The 17,643-nt window shown below is 42.1% G+C and overlaps 1 protein-coding gene across 5 annotated transcripts in view, besides 1 other annotated feature; it reads right to left on the minus strand.

Annotated features, from left to right (window-relative positions):
• The window catches only part of FAM168A (family with sequence similarity 168 member A), a 197,626-nt gene that overhangs the window by 43,136 nt on the left and 136,847 nt on the right, over positions 1-17,643 (minus strand). The window lies entirely within an intron of this gene.
• Positions 11,544-12,043: an enhancer, noted in NCBI's record as "H3K4me1 hESC enhancer chr11:73166211-73166710 (GRCh37/hg19 assembly coordinates)". NCBI's record gives its function as "activates a minimal SCP1, AML or CMV promoter by ChIP-STARR-seq in naive H9 embryonic stem cells {active_cell/tissue: H9 hESC(naive)}" and the evidence as "EXISTENCE:reporter gene assay evidence [ECO:0000049][PMID:30033119]".

Here is a 17,643-nt window from a genome sequence, read left to right on the forward strand (position 1 = left end):
ACAGCAGGTGTCAAACTGAGACAACCTGTAGTGTTATGCAACAGTGGCGCTTCATTTATAGGCAGACCTAGGTTTAAATTCCAGCTCTTTTACTTTTTAGCTCTGTGACTTTGGGCAAATCACTTCAATTTTCAAAGCCTGGGTTTTGATATTTTAAAAAATAGACACAATCAGTTAACTTACTTATTGGTAAATAATTTTTGAGTATCTATTCTATGTTAGCACCAGTGTCCTTTTTTCCTTCTCCTGTATCTGCATGTGGGCCGGCTTGGAAGGTGAGCAGGGCCAGGCCAGAGTAAGTTCAGAGCAAGCCCTAAACTTACTTCGTAGAGACCCATCTAAACATTCTTACTGTGAATCAAAAGAAGATATTTCCTCCTCTGGCTATCCTAAAGGAGCCATCATAGTCCAGTGGGAAGAACGGGGGTTCTGAAGGCAGGCAGTGTGGATTCAAAAGTCAGCTGTACCATTTACCAGACATAATATCATAGAAAAGTCCCTTTACCTAATCCTCATGAACACAAGGATATCCTATACTGCAGGCCAGAAAATTATAAAAGATGGCATGCAAAGCAACTAGCATAAATACTTGGCACAGAACAGTAAGTACTTCAGTAAATAATAGTCTCCCACCCATGCCCTTTTCATTAAAAGTTCCCTGTTGGAAACAATTGTGTTTGCCCATGGATTTTAAGATTGTTTGATGAAAAATCTTCCAGATCCTCAATCATGTGCCTTATCACCCTGCCTTTCCCTCAACTCTCACATGGCTCCAGCTGGTTAGGCCTATTATTGTTTGACCAAGCACAAGCTGGACAAAAGCAAGCTTCTAGTCAGCATGGCTTTTTGTAGAAACAGTAAACCAGTCATTCTCTGAATACAGGTAATTTTTTGTATACTGTTGTGAGTATGTGTATTTACAATCTTTTGTGCATTTTAAAACATTTTTGTCCCTCTTTAAAAAATTGTAAATGAAAGTGTCCCCACATTTTTGCCTTTTTATTTGTAATTTATTTCAGTCTATTATTTCTGCTTTATGCTACTAGCTAATAGTGAAAGTTCAAACAACCTAAATGTCTACCAACAGGGCATTAGCTGAAACAAATCTAAACCCAATCTAGAATTCCTTAAGTAAATTAAGGTGAGTTATACAACAGTACATAGCATATACTCTCATTTTTGTTGAAAAACAATGTATGTATGTTCATTTTAAAAGACCTAGAAAAACAGATATACAATTATTAGTGTTCCTCTATGTTCTTCTCATGTCAGTATTCTCTATTTTTTCTAAAATGAGCATACACTGTTTTGGAAATAAGGTAAAACAACAAGAGAAGCCATAAAATGATTATATTGGCTGGCCGCGGTGGCTCACACCTGTAATCCCAACATTTTGGGAGGCCGAGGTGGGTGGATCACCTGAGGTCGGGAGTTCAAGACCAGCCTGACCAACATGGAGAAACCCTGTCTCTACTAAAAGTACAAAATTAGCTGGGCGTGGTGGTGCATCCCTGTAATCCCAGCTACTTGGGAGGCTGAGGCAGGAGAATCGCTTGAACCTGGGAGGTAGAGGTTGCGGCAAGCCAAGATGGCGACATTGCACTCCAGCCTGGGCAACAAGAGTGAAACTCCATCTCAAAAAAAAAAAAAAGATTATATTATCGGTCGGACATTAGATATTTTCAATTAATCTCTTATTGTTAGACATGTCATCTGTTCCAAATAACTGCCACTCATACTTCTGGCAGAGCCAGAACTAGAATACAAACACCCAGTAGATATATGTAAAAATGTCTCTTTTTTTTTTTTTTTTTTTTTTTTTTTTTTGGTAGAGACAGGGTCTCAATATGTTACCCAGGCTGGTCTCTCCTGGCTTCAAGTGATCCTCCCTCCTCAGCATCCCAAAGTGCTGGGATTACAGGAATGAGCCTCAGGTCCAGCCTTTAAAAACTCTTATTGGGCCCTAAAAATTTAAAGGGTTGTTGTTTCCAGAGACTTTGTCAACAGGCTGGTGAGGTCCTAAAGGAAGTAGGTGGGAAATGTGTGCAACATGCACACCAGGACAGGATTTTCAAATAAAGTGAAATGGAACATGTCTTAGGTCAATGATCTCTAGAAAATACTACCATTTCAACACCTTTTTGTTTAGAGCTACCATTAGGTTACTATATGACCTGGGCAAGACACTTACAGCCCTTATCAAATATTCTATCTCTGTTTCCTCATCTGCAAGATAGTAACAACAGCTACTATTAAATGAACATCTCCCATAATGTTTTACAAGTGGGAAAACTGGGGCTCTAAGAGGTTAAGTAATTTGCTCATGGTTATGTAAGTGACAGTTAAGATTGAAACCAGATCTGACAAAAGAGAATGAAGGTAGGGAAATATCTGGCTCTATTTCTATGAGCTATTTTATTTTTTCCTTTTAACATTAAGGAGGTATCAGCAGAACTTTCTTTGTACAATGCAAATGACACTGTGTACTCTGTGGGATTGAATTAGAAGGTACATTGAATTACAATTAACTCAGGCCTCATCTTAACAGCTGAGTAATTAGATCAATCTAATCTTCTGAATTTTACTGCTTGTTTTATTATGACCTATAATCAGTTGAAATTATAACAGGAAGTCTAAAAGTCTTATACAAAGGCAACATGCTGCAAAGGAAAGAACATTTCCTAACTCTCAGTAGCTGGATGATTCAAGGCAAGTTACTTAACTACTTTGCACCTCAGTTTCCAAATCTATTAATATAAAATAGGAAGACCACTGTCCCACAATTACCAAGGTATACTGTTTAGAAATGCCCAAGAACTAGAAAAAAGAGGGATTCCTCAAGGGATATGAGAAAATTACCTGAGCAACATCTAAAAGGAAAGGTCTCTGACACACACTCTGGCCTCAGTACCCCCAAGAACTCAGTGAAGGTCATGCCCATGCAACCTGTCACCTTTGCTGGAGGAAGCCTGAGGTAAGTCCAGATTCCTCCTCCTCCCTCACTCCCTAAGTCCAACATCAAGTCCTAACTTATTCATTCATATTCCACAAATATTGAATGCCTACTGAAAGCTAGACACTGTTCTCTCTAAAAATGTCTCAAACATGTCCCCACCTCTGCATCTCAAATACAGCTCCTAGTTCAGGTCTCTTGACTGAAGTATCAACACTCTCCTAACTGGTCTTCTCCTTTTTCCCTCTCTCTCCAATCCATCCATCTCATTACATCCAGAGAGATCTTTCAAAAATGCCAACCTATCCATCATGCCTAAAAGTCTCTGGCAGCTTCCCACCACCAAGGATAAAGTTCCAAACTTCTTATCACAGCATAAAGACCAGCCAAGTCCAGCTCTTGCACATTTAGATGTCCTATTTCTTCTCTTGCCACGCCGGGTCTGGCATTTTACACTTCAACAACAACATACAGCTGTTCTAACATTTGATTATTCTATTTTCATGTCATTGTTCAGGCTCTTTTCAATGCTCAGATAGTCCTTCTCTTGTTCACTTCACCTCCTTCTCCAAAATGTCTTCCTTGACCTTCTCCCCTTCAGACTAGATTAGGTGTTCCTTCTGGTTATTATTCCCTTAACTAGTTTTTCTTATATTCCTTATCAAATTACATTTCCAGTTTTCTCAAATATTGCTGGGCATGGTGCCTCACACCTGTAATCCCAGTACTTTGGGAGGTAGAGGAAGGAGAATTGCTTGAGCCCAGGAATTTAAGACCAATCTGGGCAACATAGCAAGACCTCATCTCTACCAAAAATTAAAAAAAAAAATAGCCAGGCACAGCAGTGCGCATCTGTATTCCCAGCTACTTGGGAAGTTGAAGTGGGAGGATCACTTGAACCCAGGAGATCGAGGCTGCAGTGAGCTATGATCATCACACCACTGCATTCCAGCCTGGGCAACAGAGTGTAAGACCCTGTCTCAAAAAAAAAAAAAAAAAAAAATTCACCCCCCAATTTGTTAGGTCTAGTATCAGTCCAGTGATGGCCCCCTACGTTGTGGTTCTCTGTGTTCTTATATGTCCCACATGGGAGTTTCTGCTTGGGCTCTCACTGCCCAAACCTATTTTTTTTTTTCAGTCTTTCTCCCTTTCTAATCCCTCTCTAATCACCAAGCCTTGTGGCTGATAAGACCCCTTGGCCTGGGTCTATCCAAGATAGACCCATCAGCTAACTACCATTTCCCTACTGATTCAACTTCCACTGCAGAAAAAGCTGCATGGACTTCAGATTCAGAGACAGACTCAAATCCTAATTTTGTCATTTCAAACTATAAATTCAGGCAAGTTACTTCCACTCACTGAGCTTTAGCTATCTCTTATATAAAACGGGATAATAATCACTTTGCAGAGTTGAGATGATAATGCTAATAATAAAATCCAGTATTATTACTTATGTGTCAAGTTACTTTTTGTTTGTTTGTTTGTTTGTTTGAGACACAGTCTCGCTCTGTTGCCAGGGTGGAGTACAGTGATGTGGTCTTGGCTCACTGCAACCTCTGCCTCCTGGGTCCAACCAATTCTCCTGCGTTAGCCTCCCAAGTAGCTGGGACTACAGGTGCATGTCACCACGCCCAGCTAATTTTTGTATTTTTAGTAGAGACGGGGTTTCACCATGTTGGCCAGGATGGTCTTGATTTCTTGACCTTGTGATCCGCCCGCCTCAGCCTCCCAAAGTGCTGGGATTACAGGTGTGAGCCACCACGCCCAGCCCCATGTATCAAGTATTTATGCTAAGCGCTTCACATTAATCCCATCTAATCCTCACAACCCTTTCATGAGGTAGGTCCTACCATTACCTTTATTGTATAGATGAGAAACCAACTAGAGAAGCTAATTTACTTGCCTGGGTAATTGTGATAGACAATGGGCTCACTAACCCAATGATCATTCCCAACACCCTTTGCCCTTACCAAATGCTTTCACTACTGAGTCTGGAAAAGCTAAATACTCACTTTCCCAGCTTTCCTAGCACTTAGGAATAGCCACGTGGCCCAGTTCTGACCAATGAGATGTACACAGAAGTCTGCTGGGGATATTTGGGTCTTTGCTTTCCTAGGAGAAGAACAGACATTACTCGTGTTCCTCTATAACCCTTTTTTCCTACCTCCATCAGAGACATAATGACTAGAGCTACAGCAGCCATCTTAGAGCAGGAGGAAAAGGCCAAAGAATCATAGAGATATTGGTCTTGTACTCACTGACCTAATAAATCAATGTCACCTGCCACTGACCTTCAGACTTCTTTTTATGTAAGAAAAATATACCTCCTATTTACCTATTTATTTAAGCTCCTGTTTTGTTTTGTTTTTTTCTCTCTCTCTCTAACTCTATCTCTATCTTTCCTTTCTTTCTCTTTTTGAGATGGGGTCTTGCTGTGGTGCCCTGGCTAGAGTGCAGTGGCATGATCATGGCTCACTGCAGCCTTGACCTCTTGGGCTCAAGCAATCCTCCTGCCTTAGCCTCCTGAGTAGCTGGGACCACAGGTGTGCGCCACCTAATTTAAAAATTTTTTTTTGGAGAGCCAGGGTCTCTCTATGTTGCCCAGGCTGGTCTCCAACTCCTGGGCTCAAATGATCCTCTTGCCTCAGCCTCCCAAAGTGCTGGGATTACAGGCATGAGGCACCGCACCTGGCCTAAGCTACTGTTAATCAAGTCTTCCAGTAGCATATTCTGGCATTTATAACTGATGCATAGTGAGTGATAAAACAGCGGAGCTGAGATTCAAACACAGACAATTCTTAACTACTAAGCTACATGAAAAAAAAAATCTGGCACTGGATTTACTAGGGAATGGGTACTCAAATGATGAAAATAACTATAATAATATGAATCACTCGGCCTACCTTCTTAAGGCTCCAAGCTCCTCTGGAAACTCAGGATGGTTAGTAACCTAAATTACAACAGAACTACTTAGGATCAGGTCCCCTCTTTGGACACTGTGCCCAGCCCTCTTGTCTGCATTTCAATTCAGAGCTCCCAGCTGGGGATCCACACTAAGGCGGGAAGAGGGTAGGAAGGTTTGGAGTCAGGTCTTGACTCTTTGCCCATCCCCACCTATCTTATGGTACCACGAAGATTTCAGGCCTCCTGCCATGCAGGCATAAGGCAACAGAGTCCAATGAACTCAGCATAAACTTACAAATTGTGACAGCACTTGTGGTAACAGTGAAGGCCAAAGCTTCTCCTTGGTAGACAGAGACCTTTGGAGGTAACAAGAAGTATGGTTTTGTAGCTTAAACAAGACCAAGGACTACTGATTTTTCTGCATCTTCTCCTGCTGACAGCAGTAATAGCAAAAATCTGATTTAGACACTTAAATTCAAGTACCTTCCCCATCAGCTGAGCAATTTTCAAGTAATCACACTTTTGACCTTACTCAACATGAGTCCTTTTAAAGCCAATTTTAGGGGCCAATTATTTAGTTTTCCTAAAATGTGCAAGGGAAAAGAAAATTGTTGGCTATCCTGCTGGAAACTGGCTTGCATCCCTGTGTCCAGGGTTTAGGACCACCCAATCTGTCTTGAGAAGGTGCCAGCAGCCCCTCCTGTCATAGCTGACACATGTGTGACATTTGACACATAACCTGCTTCTAAAGCTGTTTTGAACTTGAAGGAATTATGACATTCATGATGGCAAGATTCCTAGACAAGCTCACAAAATTGGGAGAGAAGAGGAAGACTATGGAACATTTACTAAATGGGAGATAGGTCCATTAGAATCATCCAGAGAGCTTGTAAAAACACCGATTTTGCTGGGAACCACCTCTAGGGTTTCTGATTCTGTAAGTCTGAAGCTGAAGCCCAAGAATTAGCATTTCTAGTAGGTTTGTAGGCCCAGGGGTTACATTTAGAAAATCACTGCTATAAAGTATAAATCAATTATTAGTCACAGAGACTTTGGAAACTGACAATTGGGCACCTCCAGATGCTGGAAAAGTTTCTCCATCCGTAAGAAAAGGTTCACTGTATCAGGATATTCACCTAGCTTATGGCCTTTTTTCCCTCCCAAAAACAAAACGACCCCCCTTCTCCACTCCCCTCCCCCCAAATCTAAACAGCAATAGTGACAGGTTTCAACTGGTTTCTTTTTATGGACCAGACAGACCCTGAATGCTCAGAACATAGGGAAATGCCTGTGGGTTTTCACAAGGCAAAGCTGTCTCTTAAAAAAGATGCTTTGAGTTCAGAAGAGGAATTCTCCTAGAAGTTCCAGACAATATACCCTGAAAGAAAGGACAAGTCTACAGTGGAGGTTCTCTAATCTCCCAAAGTATGCATATACTACTACTAGCTGCTACTAAGAAAAAAACTCTTAGACCAGCTTTTTCCACAACATACCTGTGCTTATTACCATAGTAAGAACCAGGAATGAATAGGTGCAAGGATGGAGACGAGTGTGTGCATGTGTGATATATATTAGGGGTTGGGAAGACAAACATAAACTAGATAATTCTGAGAACCCCTTCATGGCAGCTTAGGAGCTATCTAAATGGGTTACAGGTTGAGTTGAGATACTGATTCCTTAAGCTCTTAGGCTGTCTGGGAAGAAGGTGAGGCATAAGAGCTCCTGGGCAGCTTTGTCTATCTATCCAGAGTTCCCTATAAATAATGTAATTTTCTGTGTGAAAGCACTGGCTTAGAGCTAAATGTGAATTACTGTTTAGAGAAGACCCTCGGGACAAAAAGCCTATTCCAAACTCTCAGGTCAATTTGCCAGAGAGATTTATGGACCTCTGAAAAGGCTTCGTTATTAGAGGTTTGATCATTCAGTCCTTTATTCACTCAACTAACCAATATTAATTGAGAGTTCACTTTGTGTTAGGCACTTTGTGTTAGCACTGAGAACACAATGACTGCCTGCAATAGCAATGGGTATTACTAAAGATATAAACAATTATAAGACAGTCTACAGTCATATGCTGCATAATGACAGCATATATGAAGGTGATCCCATAAGATTATAATACTGCATTTTTACTGTACCTTTTCTATGTTTAGATACACAAACAACCATTGTGTTACAATTGCCTACATTATTCAGTGCAGTAACATGCTGTACAGATTTGTAGCCTAGGCTATACCACATAGCCAAGGTGTGTAAGTAGGCTGTACCATCTACGTCTGTGTAAGTACACTCCATTATATTTGCACAACAACAAAACTGCCTAATTGTTGCATTTCTCAAAATGTATCCCCCTTGTTAAATAGTCCATGAGTGTAAGTTAACTATGTAGCTTAGTGGTTAAGAGCATGAAACATCCGAACTTAGGCTTGATTCTGGCTTCTCTACTTCCTGGCTCTGTGACAGAAACAAGTCCTCTCATCTTTCTTGATTTGTGTCTACACCTATTAAAACTTGGATAATACAGATTAAGTAAGAGAAACCTTGCAGCACAGCTGCCACCACTGCCACCACCTTGAGTCAGGAGAACCAAGCCCAGGCTGGGGTGTTGGAAGTCTGGGGATTCCAGCCTCAGTCACTATGGACAGTTTTTTCTTCATCTGTAGCTCTCTGGCCACACCCACTCCTTTACATTCAAGGTAGAGGAAGAAGATAATATGAAGCATGTGCTGGCATTAATTATGCTCTGCTTCACCAAGGGAGCTAACAATGAGTGTAATGTGATAGAAGGTGTAACCTGGAACTGTGACCACCAGGAGATTACAGTCCCTCTGGCAAACCTCAAGTTATCCTGTCAACCCAAGTTACAATACGCAATGATGTTTCTGAGGAAGAGGAGGGAGCTGAGTTGTGCCCTGTCCTTCCTGCCAAAAAGCAGTGGGGATAAGCCCTAACCCTCACTGTTTAGCTAGCTGCCTGCTACATGTGCCATATACCATCTTCATGGACAAGACTGAAGAATTCTGAATGTCTCTTCTCTGATGAAAAGGAGAGTCTGGGGTGAGGGGGTGAGTGGGAGGCACTTGGGCCAGTGCTAGAAGAGAAGGAGGCCTGTTCTCCATAGGACCCTGGTGTTCTGGTCCTATACCATGTCTAGGGCTTACCTTTTCTCTAGGGGTGGGAAGCACTCTGAACTTCTATCCTGACCCTCTCTCTCCATCTACCTATGAAGATTGGAGGTCAGTATCCAAAGCTCAGGACTACACATTTTTAACCAGTTTACATTTTTGGATGAAAGTTGAAATAAAATGGTGTGGAATGTTTTGCAAAAAAAAAATAATAATAATAAGTAAAATAATGACATAATTCTCAAACTGGGTACAGGAACTCCTATGGTTACTCAACACTATGCTGCAGGTTACAAAAAAAAAAGTACTGAATAAATAGGCGCACCTTCCTGGGGTGTTAATTTTACCAGACGGTAAATAATTTGAAGTGTTTGTTTTATAGAAAACAAGTATGACTACATAATGGTGCCTTAAGGCAAAATCCTTATGAATTCTGAAGATAAGACATAGACTTCAAATACATTTTAACCTTGGAGTGGCTGCTGTGGGCTATTCACTCCTGCATCAATCCAGAGATGAATTCATTCTCCTCTGATAGCAGGTACACTTTGGTAGAAAAGTTTCCAAAACACGGTGTATGGCCCATAAGGGCCCTCAGCAAACAGCAACCATTACTGTTATTCATAGATAGCTGTTATAATAAACCCATCCACTAGAGGAACAAAATGGGTGGGGAAAGGGGTCCTCTCTACCCAGACACCATTTTTTTCCCAAGCTCTGGACCTATCTGGTTCCTGACCAGAATCTCTGTGATTCCATGGGAAGTAGAACTCTGGGAAGCTGGCCAATTCTGACCCTAAATGCCAAGGAGTTCTCTTCGAAAAAGAGATCAGCACTAGTAAAGTTACTAATCTCAACAGCCTCCTGGGGACCCAGCCCGCAAGCAGTTAACCCTCAAGATAAGAAAAGTCAGTACAATGATCAATGCGGCTCTACCCATGACTAGATCTGTCACATTTAAAAGGTTCTTCCAGATCAATTATCTCCTTAAAGTCTCACGAATAAGTGACAGATAGGGTAGATACTATTATTCCTACCTTTATAGGAGAGGAAACTGAGGCCATTGGAAGTAAAGGAACTTATTAAAGTTTTTAGAGGCAGAGCCAGGAGTCAGACTCGGGTCTTCAGACTTCAAGAACAGGCTCTCCCCACTACATTACGCAACAGAAACCATTCCAATGAGAATCTATGCAGCACAGCCAAAAGCTCTTCCAGTCCTGTGTCAACATCCCACTGATTTTCAGCTGTATTCGAGGCCACAAAAATTATATCACCATTGATTAAGGACCATACATAACTAATAGAAAGCTAAATTAAATTGCATGAGCTTAATTAGCAGGGAAAGGGAAGTCACTCACTGGTGGTAGCTATGGCTATACCTGACCTTTCATAGGATACTTATGGACAGGCTGGCTTTCATGGTCTATTGAGCTTGCCCAAGAATGTCAGAAGCTCCAGAGAAAGAAGCCCTGGACTGTCACTGTAGGAGAGGGCGCTGAGTAAGGGTACTGAGCTCACCTCATCTTAATCTGTTTCTGAACCCTTCATTAACACCAGGGATTCCAAGAAGGAACACAGAAAAATTGCATTTACAAGAAAATGCAAAAGAAATAGACTAAGGGAAGGAGTCAGCCAGCTGATTTATAATAAAAGAGATCTAACAAAAATTTAAAGATTAATACCCAGATTGTTAGAGCTAACGGAAACTACTAAACAACTCACATAAGCCCCTCATAGCCTAGATGGGAAAGTGAAGGCAAGGGAAATGGGTGGAACTTGTCAAGTGTCTCCTAGTTGTTAGTAGCAGAATCAGAATTACAACTTAGTAACTCCTCTCCTCTCATGCTTCAAGATTCACGCTTGCCTTCTCAGAAGGCTTTCCTGACACCAACCTCTTGATAGGGATAGGGGGCAGAGAAATTCTTAGCAGAAAAGAGCAGGCCCCTGGCGAAACCCCACCCTCAAGCCAAAAAGCCTGAAACCGCGGCCCAAAGTGAGAACTTATATCTCTGTTTTCCTGCTCAAATGTTGCCTTTTCCTAAACCACCCATGGTCCCACCCCATCCTGTGCCTATAAAAACTCCAGATTCAGCTGGTAGACGGGACTATGGCTGGACATTGGAGAGAAGTGGCTTGACTTCAGAGGTACAGCTTGACAGCAAAACTTCGAAGAATCTGGCTGGAGACAGCTGGACTTCAGGGGAAGATTACCTACCCAACCCGTCCCCTTTTCAGCCCCTCTTCCCACTGAGAGCCACTTTCATCGGCAATAAAATCTCCTGCATTTACCACCCTTCAATTCGTTTAGGCTACCTCATTTTTCCTGGATGCCAGACAAGAGCTTGGGAGCCACGAGTGTGGATACAAAAAGGCTGGCACACTGGCCCTTTGCACTCGCTGGTGGAAGGCAGCCTCACACAAAAAGGCAAAGAGCCCACTGGGCTGTTAACACTTAAGCTGTTCATGGACAGCAGAGCTAAAAGAGCACTGTAACACGCCCTCTGGGGCTTCAGTAGTCACAGGCACCCCCACCTGGACACTGCCTTGGGGCCCGCACAGAGTTCACTGATGCCAGAGCCCAAAAGTGGCCGGCTGGATCCTGTACTCACTTGCCTACTGCTCCCTTCCACAAAGGGTTGAGCATGGCGAGCTGAGTAAGCAGAGTTTGTTCCTGCCAGCGCCCAAAAGCACTTGCTCTAGTTCCTGCACTGGTTCGCTCACACGCTCTGTCCCACAAGGGGTAGACAAGGGTGGACTGAGTAAATGAGGCACCCCTGTCGCAAGTCCAGCAAAGGGGTCAAGAAAATATCCTGATTCGCTCTGACAGTGTTGTGGCCCTCCTCTATATACACCATGCTTCCACAGCAATTTGTACATTTATTTATTATGTTAGGCTTTTGGAATACAGTGGCACATCCCTCTGAGATAGTATTTGTCTCAGTGTATTCTGTCTTCTTATACTTCTGTTTTTCCATTTCTTACAGATCTGTGCTGGTTAAGATGGAGAGTCTATGGAGGTACCATAAACAAAGAACACACAATCACTGTGTGTATGAGTCTTTATAAAACTGGTAATCTTGCAATTTAAAGAACAGAGTATATAACAAAATTGGAAGGTCAGAATTCATCCAGTCCAGTCATTTAGGCCCCCTCCTATGGCAGTAGAATCCTTCTCACCTGGATGCCTAATCTATAAAATAGGCAGGAGCAGATCTCTACTGGAGGGGAAGAGAGCACCTATGTGGCTTACTGCTTTCTCTTTTAACAGCTCCTAGGCATCCTGAGGTGCAATCTCCCAATTTTCTGAATAAGGAAACAGCTAAAATAAAGGAACTTTTTACTTCTAGGCTCTCCCTTCATTCAGCATGAACAAAGAAAAAAGTAGGGCCTTTAGAGCCAGGCAAACTGTAAGGGAATCTTCTATGACCTTGGAAAAGTCATTTGACCTCTCTGCATCAGTTTTTTAACTGATCAATTTTTTAACATCTATCTTCTAGGGATGTCATGAGGATTAAATGAAATAAAATATATAAAGCATGGATGCTTCAAAGATTGGCTTACCATAGAAAAGATGTGATCACCAGCACCCCTGGAGGGTGGCAAGGCAGGTTTAAAATACCTTGATGCAAAACCTTAAATAAAATCTCTCCAGACATAAGCAGCCACCTAAATGTTAATTCAAAACTCTCAGCATGGTAATGAGTAAAGATTTTTCCCCCTACCAGGGCAGAAGACAGGTAAGAAAGTGAGCTATAGGACAATTTTCCACCATTTTATAGAAATTTACCAATGACTGAATATACTGCTATGTCTTGAGCTAATTGTGAGAACCCATCACTGTGAACAGATACATGGAAAGCATGTCTCTCACTGTCATGCAGGGTGATGACCATTCTTTATTTGCAAAGAATACTGTGATATAGCAAGACTTTAGCCAGAAAAAGAAAAAAAAAATCCTTACTCGATACTTTCTTTTATGCAATGCTAACAAACTACATGACACTGACAGTTTTTCATTGTTATTGTTTTAAGGATACCTACATTGGGAGCTCTTTTGCTATTCTGCCTTTGTCCATAGGAATCCTCCACATAAACAACTACTGAGCCAGCAGAAACTATCTGAAGTAACTATTTTGGAATTCCAGAGTCTAATCAGAACACTTGCAGTATGCAGAGGGAGAGTTTAATGAAGAGGCTGGTAAAATTTTCAGAGAATTTCAGCCTTTTGCCCAGTGGCTACCATCCTCCAAGTCCCTGGTGCAGATTGCTGGAGCTAGATGGGCAGTAAGGACCTTGGCCTCCAAATATGGGGGTTATGTGTTCTGATTGTTAGTTTTGATCACTGAGAGGCCAGCACAGAGGCTGACAGCCATGGTTTCAACCTCTACTGGCCAAAGCAGATTCCAAGGCATTTACAAGAACAGATGAATGAATAAATAAATATTGTATGATTCTACTTATATGAAATATCTAGAATAGGCAAATTCATAGAAACAGAAAGAGCCAAGTACAATGGCTCATTCCTATAATCCTAGTGACTTGGGAGGCTGAGGTGAAATGATTGCCCAAAGCCAGAAGTTTGAGATCAGCCTAGGTAACAGAGAGAGATCCCTTCTTTAATTTTTTTTTTTTAAATTAGCCAGGCACAGTGATGTACACCTGTAGTTCCAGTTACTTGGGAGGCTGAGACTGGAGGATCCCTTGAGCCAAGGGACTTCAAGGCTGTAGTGAGCTATGATCGCACCACTGCACTCCAACCTGTGGGACAGAGTGAAACTCCATCTCGTTTAAAAAAAAAAAAGAAACAGGAAGAAATTTAGGGGTTACCAGGGCTAGAGGCAGGGCAAAAGATGAGTAAAAGAAGAGTTATTGTTTAATGGTTACAGAATTTCTGTTGATGAAAAAGTTCTGGAAATAGTGGGGATATTTAAACAACATTGTGAATGTACCTAATGCCACTCAATTATACACTTAAAAATGGTTAAAATTGGCCAGGTGCAGTGGCTCATGCCTGTAATCTCAGCACTTTGGGAGGCCGAAGTAAGAGGATCAACTTGAGCCCAAGAGCTGGAGGCTGCAGTGAGCTATGATTGTGCTACGGTACTCTAGCCTGGGTGACAAAAAAAAAAAAAAAAAAAAAAAAAAAGAAAAGAAAAGAAAGAAAAGAAAAAAAAGGCTAAAATGGTAAATTTTGTATTACATATACTTTAGCATAATAAACTTTTCATAAGTATACCCATATTTCACATAAGCTGGCTTTTATAAGCTATATGACCTTGAGAAACTTACTTAACTTAGCTGAACCTTATTCCCTCATATGTAAAATAATAATAGCTCTCCCTTGAAGGATTATCATAAAAATTGGGGACTACGTTTGTAAAGTGCTTGGCACTCCACTGACAGTAATTAGTGGTAGTTATTACTATAATAACAGCAACAATAATATAATTTGTATAAACTAATAATAATTTAATTCAACATATATTTAATGAACTAACTGCCTGCTCTGTTGTGGGCACAAGAAGTACATAATTTCTGCCCTCAAGGAGCTCACAGTCTAGAAAAACATACAAATAAACAACTTTTTGTAGAGAACAGGAAGCCAAGGAGAATTTAGGAGCAGAAAAATAATAACCCAACAACAGCAATACTTCTTTGTTTGGGAGAAAGAGTTATTCTTCTTTACAGAGGTGGGAAATCATTTTGTAACCCAGGAAAGTAAATCAGTCACAAGCAAGGGTGTGTAGCTCAGTGGTAGAGTGGGTGCTTCGCATGTAAATCAGTCACAAGCAAACACATAGTTTAATGTGCATGATTCTTGCCCTGACAAGGTTTAATCCATCTGCTTTTAGCATCACACACAGTATCTGAGACAGATACAAAATCACTGCTTATATGGACTACAAAACCCAGAGAGGACTTGCCTGACACTTCAGTGGAGTGGAAAGAGCTTGGATTTCTGACTCTTTCCTCATCTGTAAAATAAGTGTTCTAATAGAAATTTCTTTCTTTCTTTTTTTTGATATGGAGTCTCGTTGCACTGTCGCCCAGGCTGGAGTGCAATGGTGCGATCTCGGCTCACTGCAACCTCCGCCTCCCGGATTGAAGTGATTCTCCTGCCTCAGACTCCCGAGTAGCTGGGATTACAGGTGCCTGCTACCACGCCCGGCTAATTTTTTGTACTTTTAGTAGAGATGGGGTTTCACTATGTTGGCCAGGCTGGTCTCAAACTCCTGACCTCATGATCCGCCCGCCTTGGCCTCCCAAAGTGATGGGATTACAGGCGTGAGCCACTGCACCCAGCCTCTAATAGAAATTTCTACCTCACAGTGCTTGTTGTAAGGATTAAATGAGATCACAAATCGTAACTTTAAGTTGTAAAGTATTGTGCTTCTTATGTATTATTATATGCGGTTTTGTGAGCCTTTGTTCTCACATGCTTCAGAGAAAATTTGTCCTGGAAAGTCAAACTTTGTTTTTGTTTTGTTTTGTTTTTATAGACGGGGTCTTGCTCTGTCACCCAGGCTGGAGTGCAGTGGCGTAATCATGGCTCACTGCAGCCTCAACCTCCTGGGCTCAAGCAACCCTCCCACCTCAGCCTCCTGAGTAGCTGGGACAACAGGCATGTGCCACCATGTCCAGCCAATTTTTAAATTTTTTTTTGTAGAAATGAGGTCTCACCCATCCTGGCTAACACAGTGAAACCCCGTCTCTACTGAAAATACAAAAAAATTAGCCGGGCGTGGTGGCATGCGCCTATAGTCTCAGCTACTCGGGAGGCTGAGGCAGGAGAATGGCGTGAACCTGGGAGGCGGAGCTTGCAGTGAGCCGAGATTGCACCACTGCACTCCAGCCTGGGCGACAGAGCAAGACTCTGAGTCAAAAAAAGAAAAAAAAAAGGAAAAAGAAAAAAAAAAGAAATGAGGTCACACTATGTTGCACAGGCTGGTCACATTTTGTTTTTAAAAGTCAAATGTCCTGAGCAAAGCAGCTGCCACTCAAAATGAGCTAGCCTAAGGCTGACTACATAGGTAATATAAGAGGTTTGAAGACAACTCTTCATTGCTAAATAGCTCAAAGGAATTGTCAAATTTCAACTATCATTGTTCTAAAAAAGAATAATTGCTGTAAACCAAGTAGGCAAGGAAAGAGGGTCTCTTGTTTTCTCTGAGGGTCTCTGCTCAGTCTCCATAAGACTCAAAAACAGAAAAGTCTCCCTGTTCCATCTGGTCTATCCAGAGGGGTTGACCAGTCACAACAGATAATCCAAATGAATTTTTTTTTTTTTTTTTTTTTTTGAGACGGAGTCTCTGTTGCCCAGGCTGGAGTGCAGTGGCACAATCTTGACTCACTGCAAGCTCCGCCTCCCGGGTTCACACCATTCTCCTGCCTCACCCTCCTGAGTAACTGGGAGTACAGGCGCCCACCACCATGCCTGGCTAATTTTTTGTATTTTTAGTAGAGACGGGGTTTCACCGTGGTAACCAGGATGGTCTCGATCTCCCGACCTCGTGATCCGCCCACCTCGGCCTCCCAAAGTGCTGGGATTACAGGCGTGAGCCACCGCACCCGGCCTCCAAATGAAATTTTTATTCACCTACAAAGCAGAAAAAAATCTCTCCCGCACTGGCTACCTGTCCCAGACTCTCCTTGCCATATCAGAGGGCTACTCATTAGCAAGGATAGACAAATCACAGGAGTCTTTTCCTCAAACCCATCTCATACTTCTCTGCTGTAACCTCCTTCATTCATTAGAGTCTCATCTCCTTCCCTTTATTTCTTTCTTCTCCCCCCTTTCTTCCTTCAAAATTTACTGAGAGCCAACTCTGTACCAGTCACTGTGCTAGGTACTGGGGATATAATGATGATGAATAATAAACAAAGGCTACTAATGCTTTTTTTTTTTTTTTTTTTTTTGAGACAAAGTCTCACTCTATTGCCCAGGCTGGAGTATAGTGGCACAATCTCAGCTCACTGCAACCTCTGCTTCCTGAGTTCAAGCGATTCTCCTGCCTCAGCCTCCCCAGTAGCTAGGACTACAGGAATGTGCCACCATGCCTGGCTAATTTTTGTATTTTTAGTAGAGACGGGGTTTCACCATGTTGGCCAGGCTGGTCTCGAACTCCTGACTTCAGGTAATCCACCCACCTCGGCCTTCCAAAGTGCTGGGATTACAGGCGTGAGCCACTGTGCCCAGCCCCTCAAAGCACTTTTGAAGTAAGCAGACACTATTATCCCTACTTTATAGAAGAAACTCAGAGAGGTGGGAAATGACCGAAGATAAGAGAGTTACCTTGTTTAAAGAAATCTAACTAAGTGTGTTGGAAATTAAAAAGCAGCTATAAGGTGAGCAGAAAGAGAACTAGATTGGCTGCCAGAGGTCTGGGTTCTACTTCCAGGTTTGACATCTATCTGTCCATCCATTTGTTGAAAAACTAGTCAATATTCATGGCATGCAGGGGCCTAGCTGGGTATTAGAGATACAGGAGTAAATCAGATACTGAATTCATTGTCAATCTTTTTTTTTTAAGACAAGGTCTCCACTCTTGTCACCCAGGCTGGGGTGCAATGGTACAAGCATGGCTCACTGAAGCCTTGACTTCCTGGGCTCAAGTGACCCTCCCAACTCAGCCTCCAGAGTAGCTGGAACTACAGGCAGGT

This window comes from Homo sapiens, chromosome 11, assembly GCF_000001405.40.
Source record: "Homo sapiens chromosome 11, GRCh38.p14 Primary Assembly".
Taxonomy (NCBI): domain Eukaryota; kingdom Metazoa; phylum Chordata; class Mammalia; order Primates; family Hominidae; genus Homo; species Homo sapiens.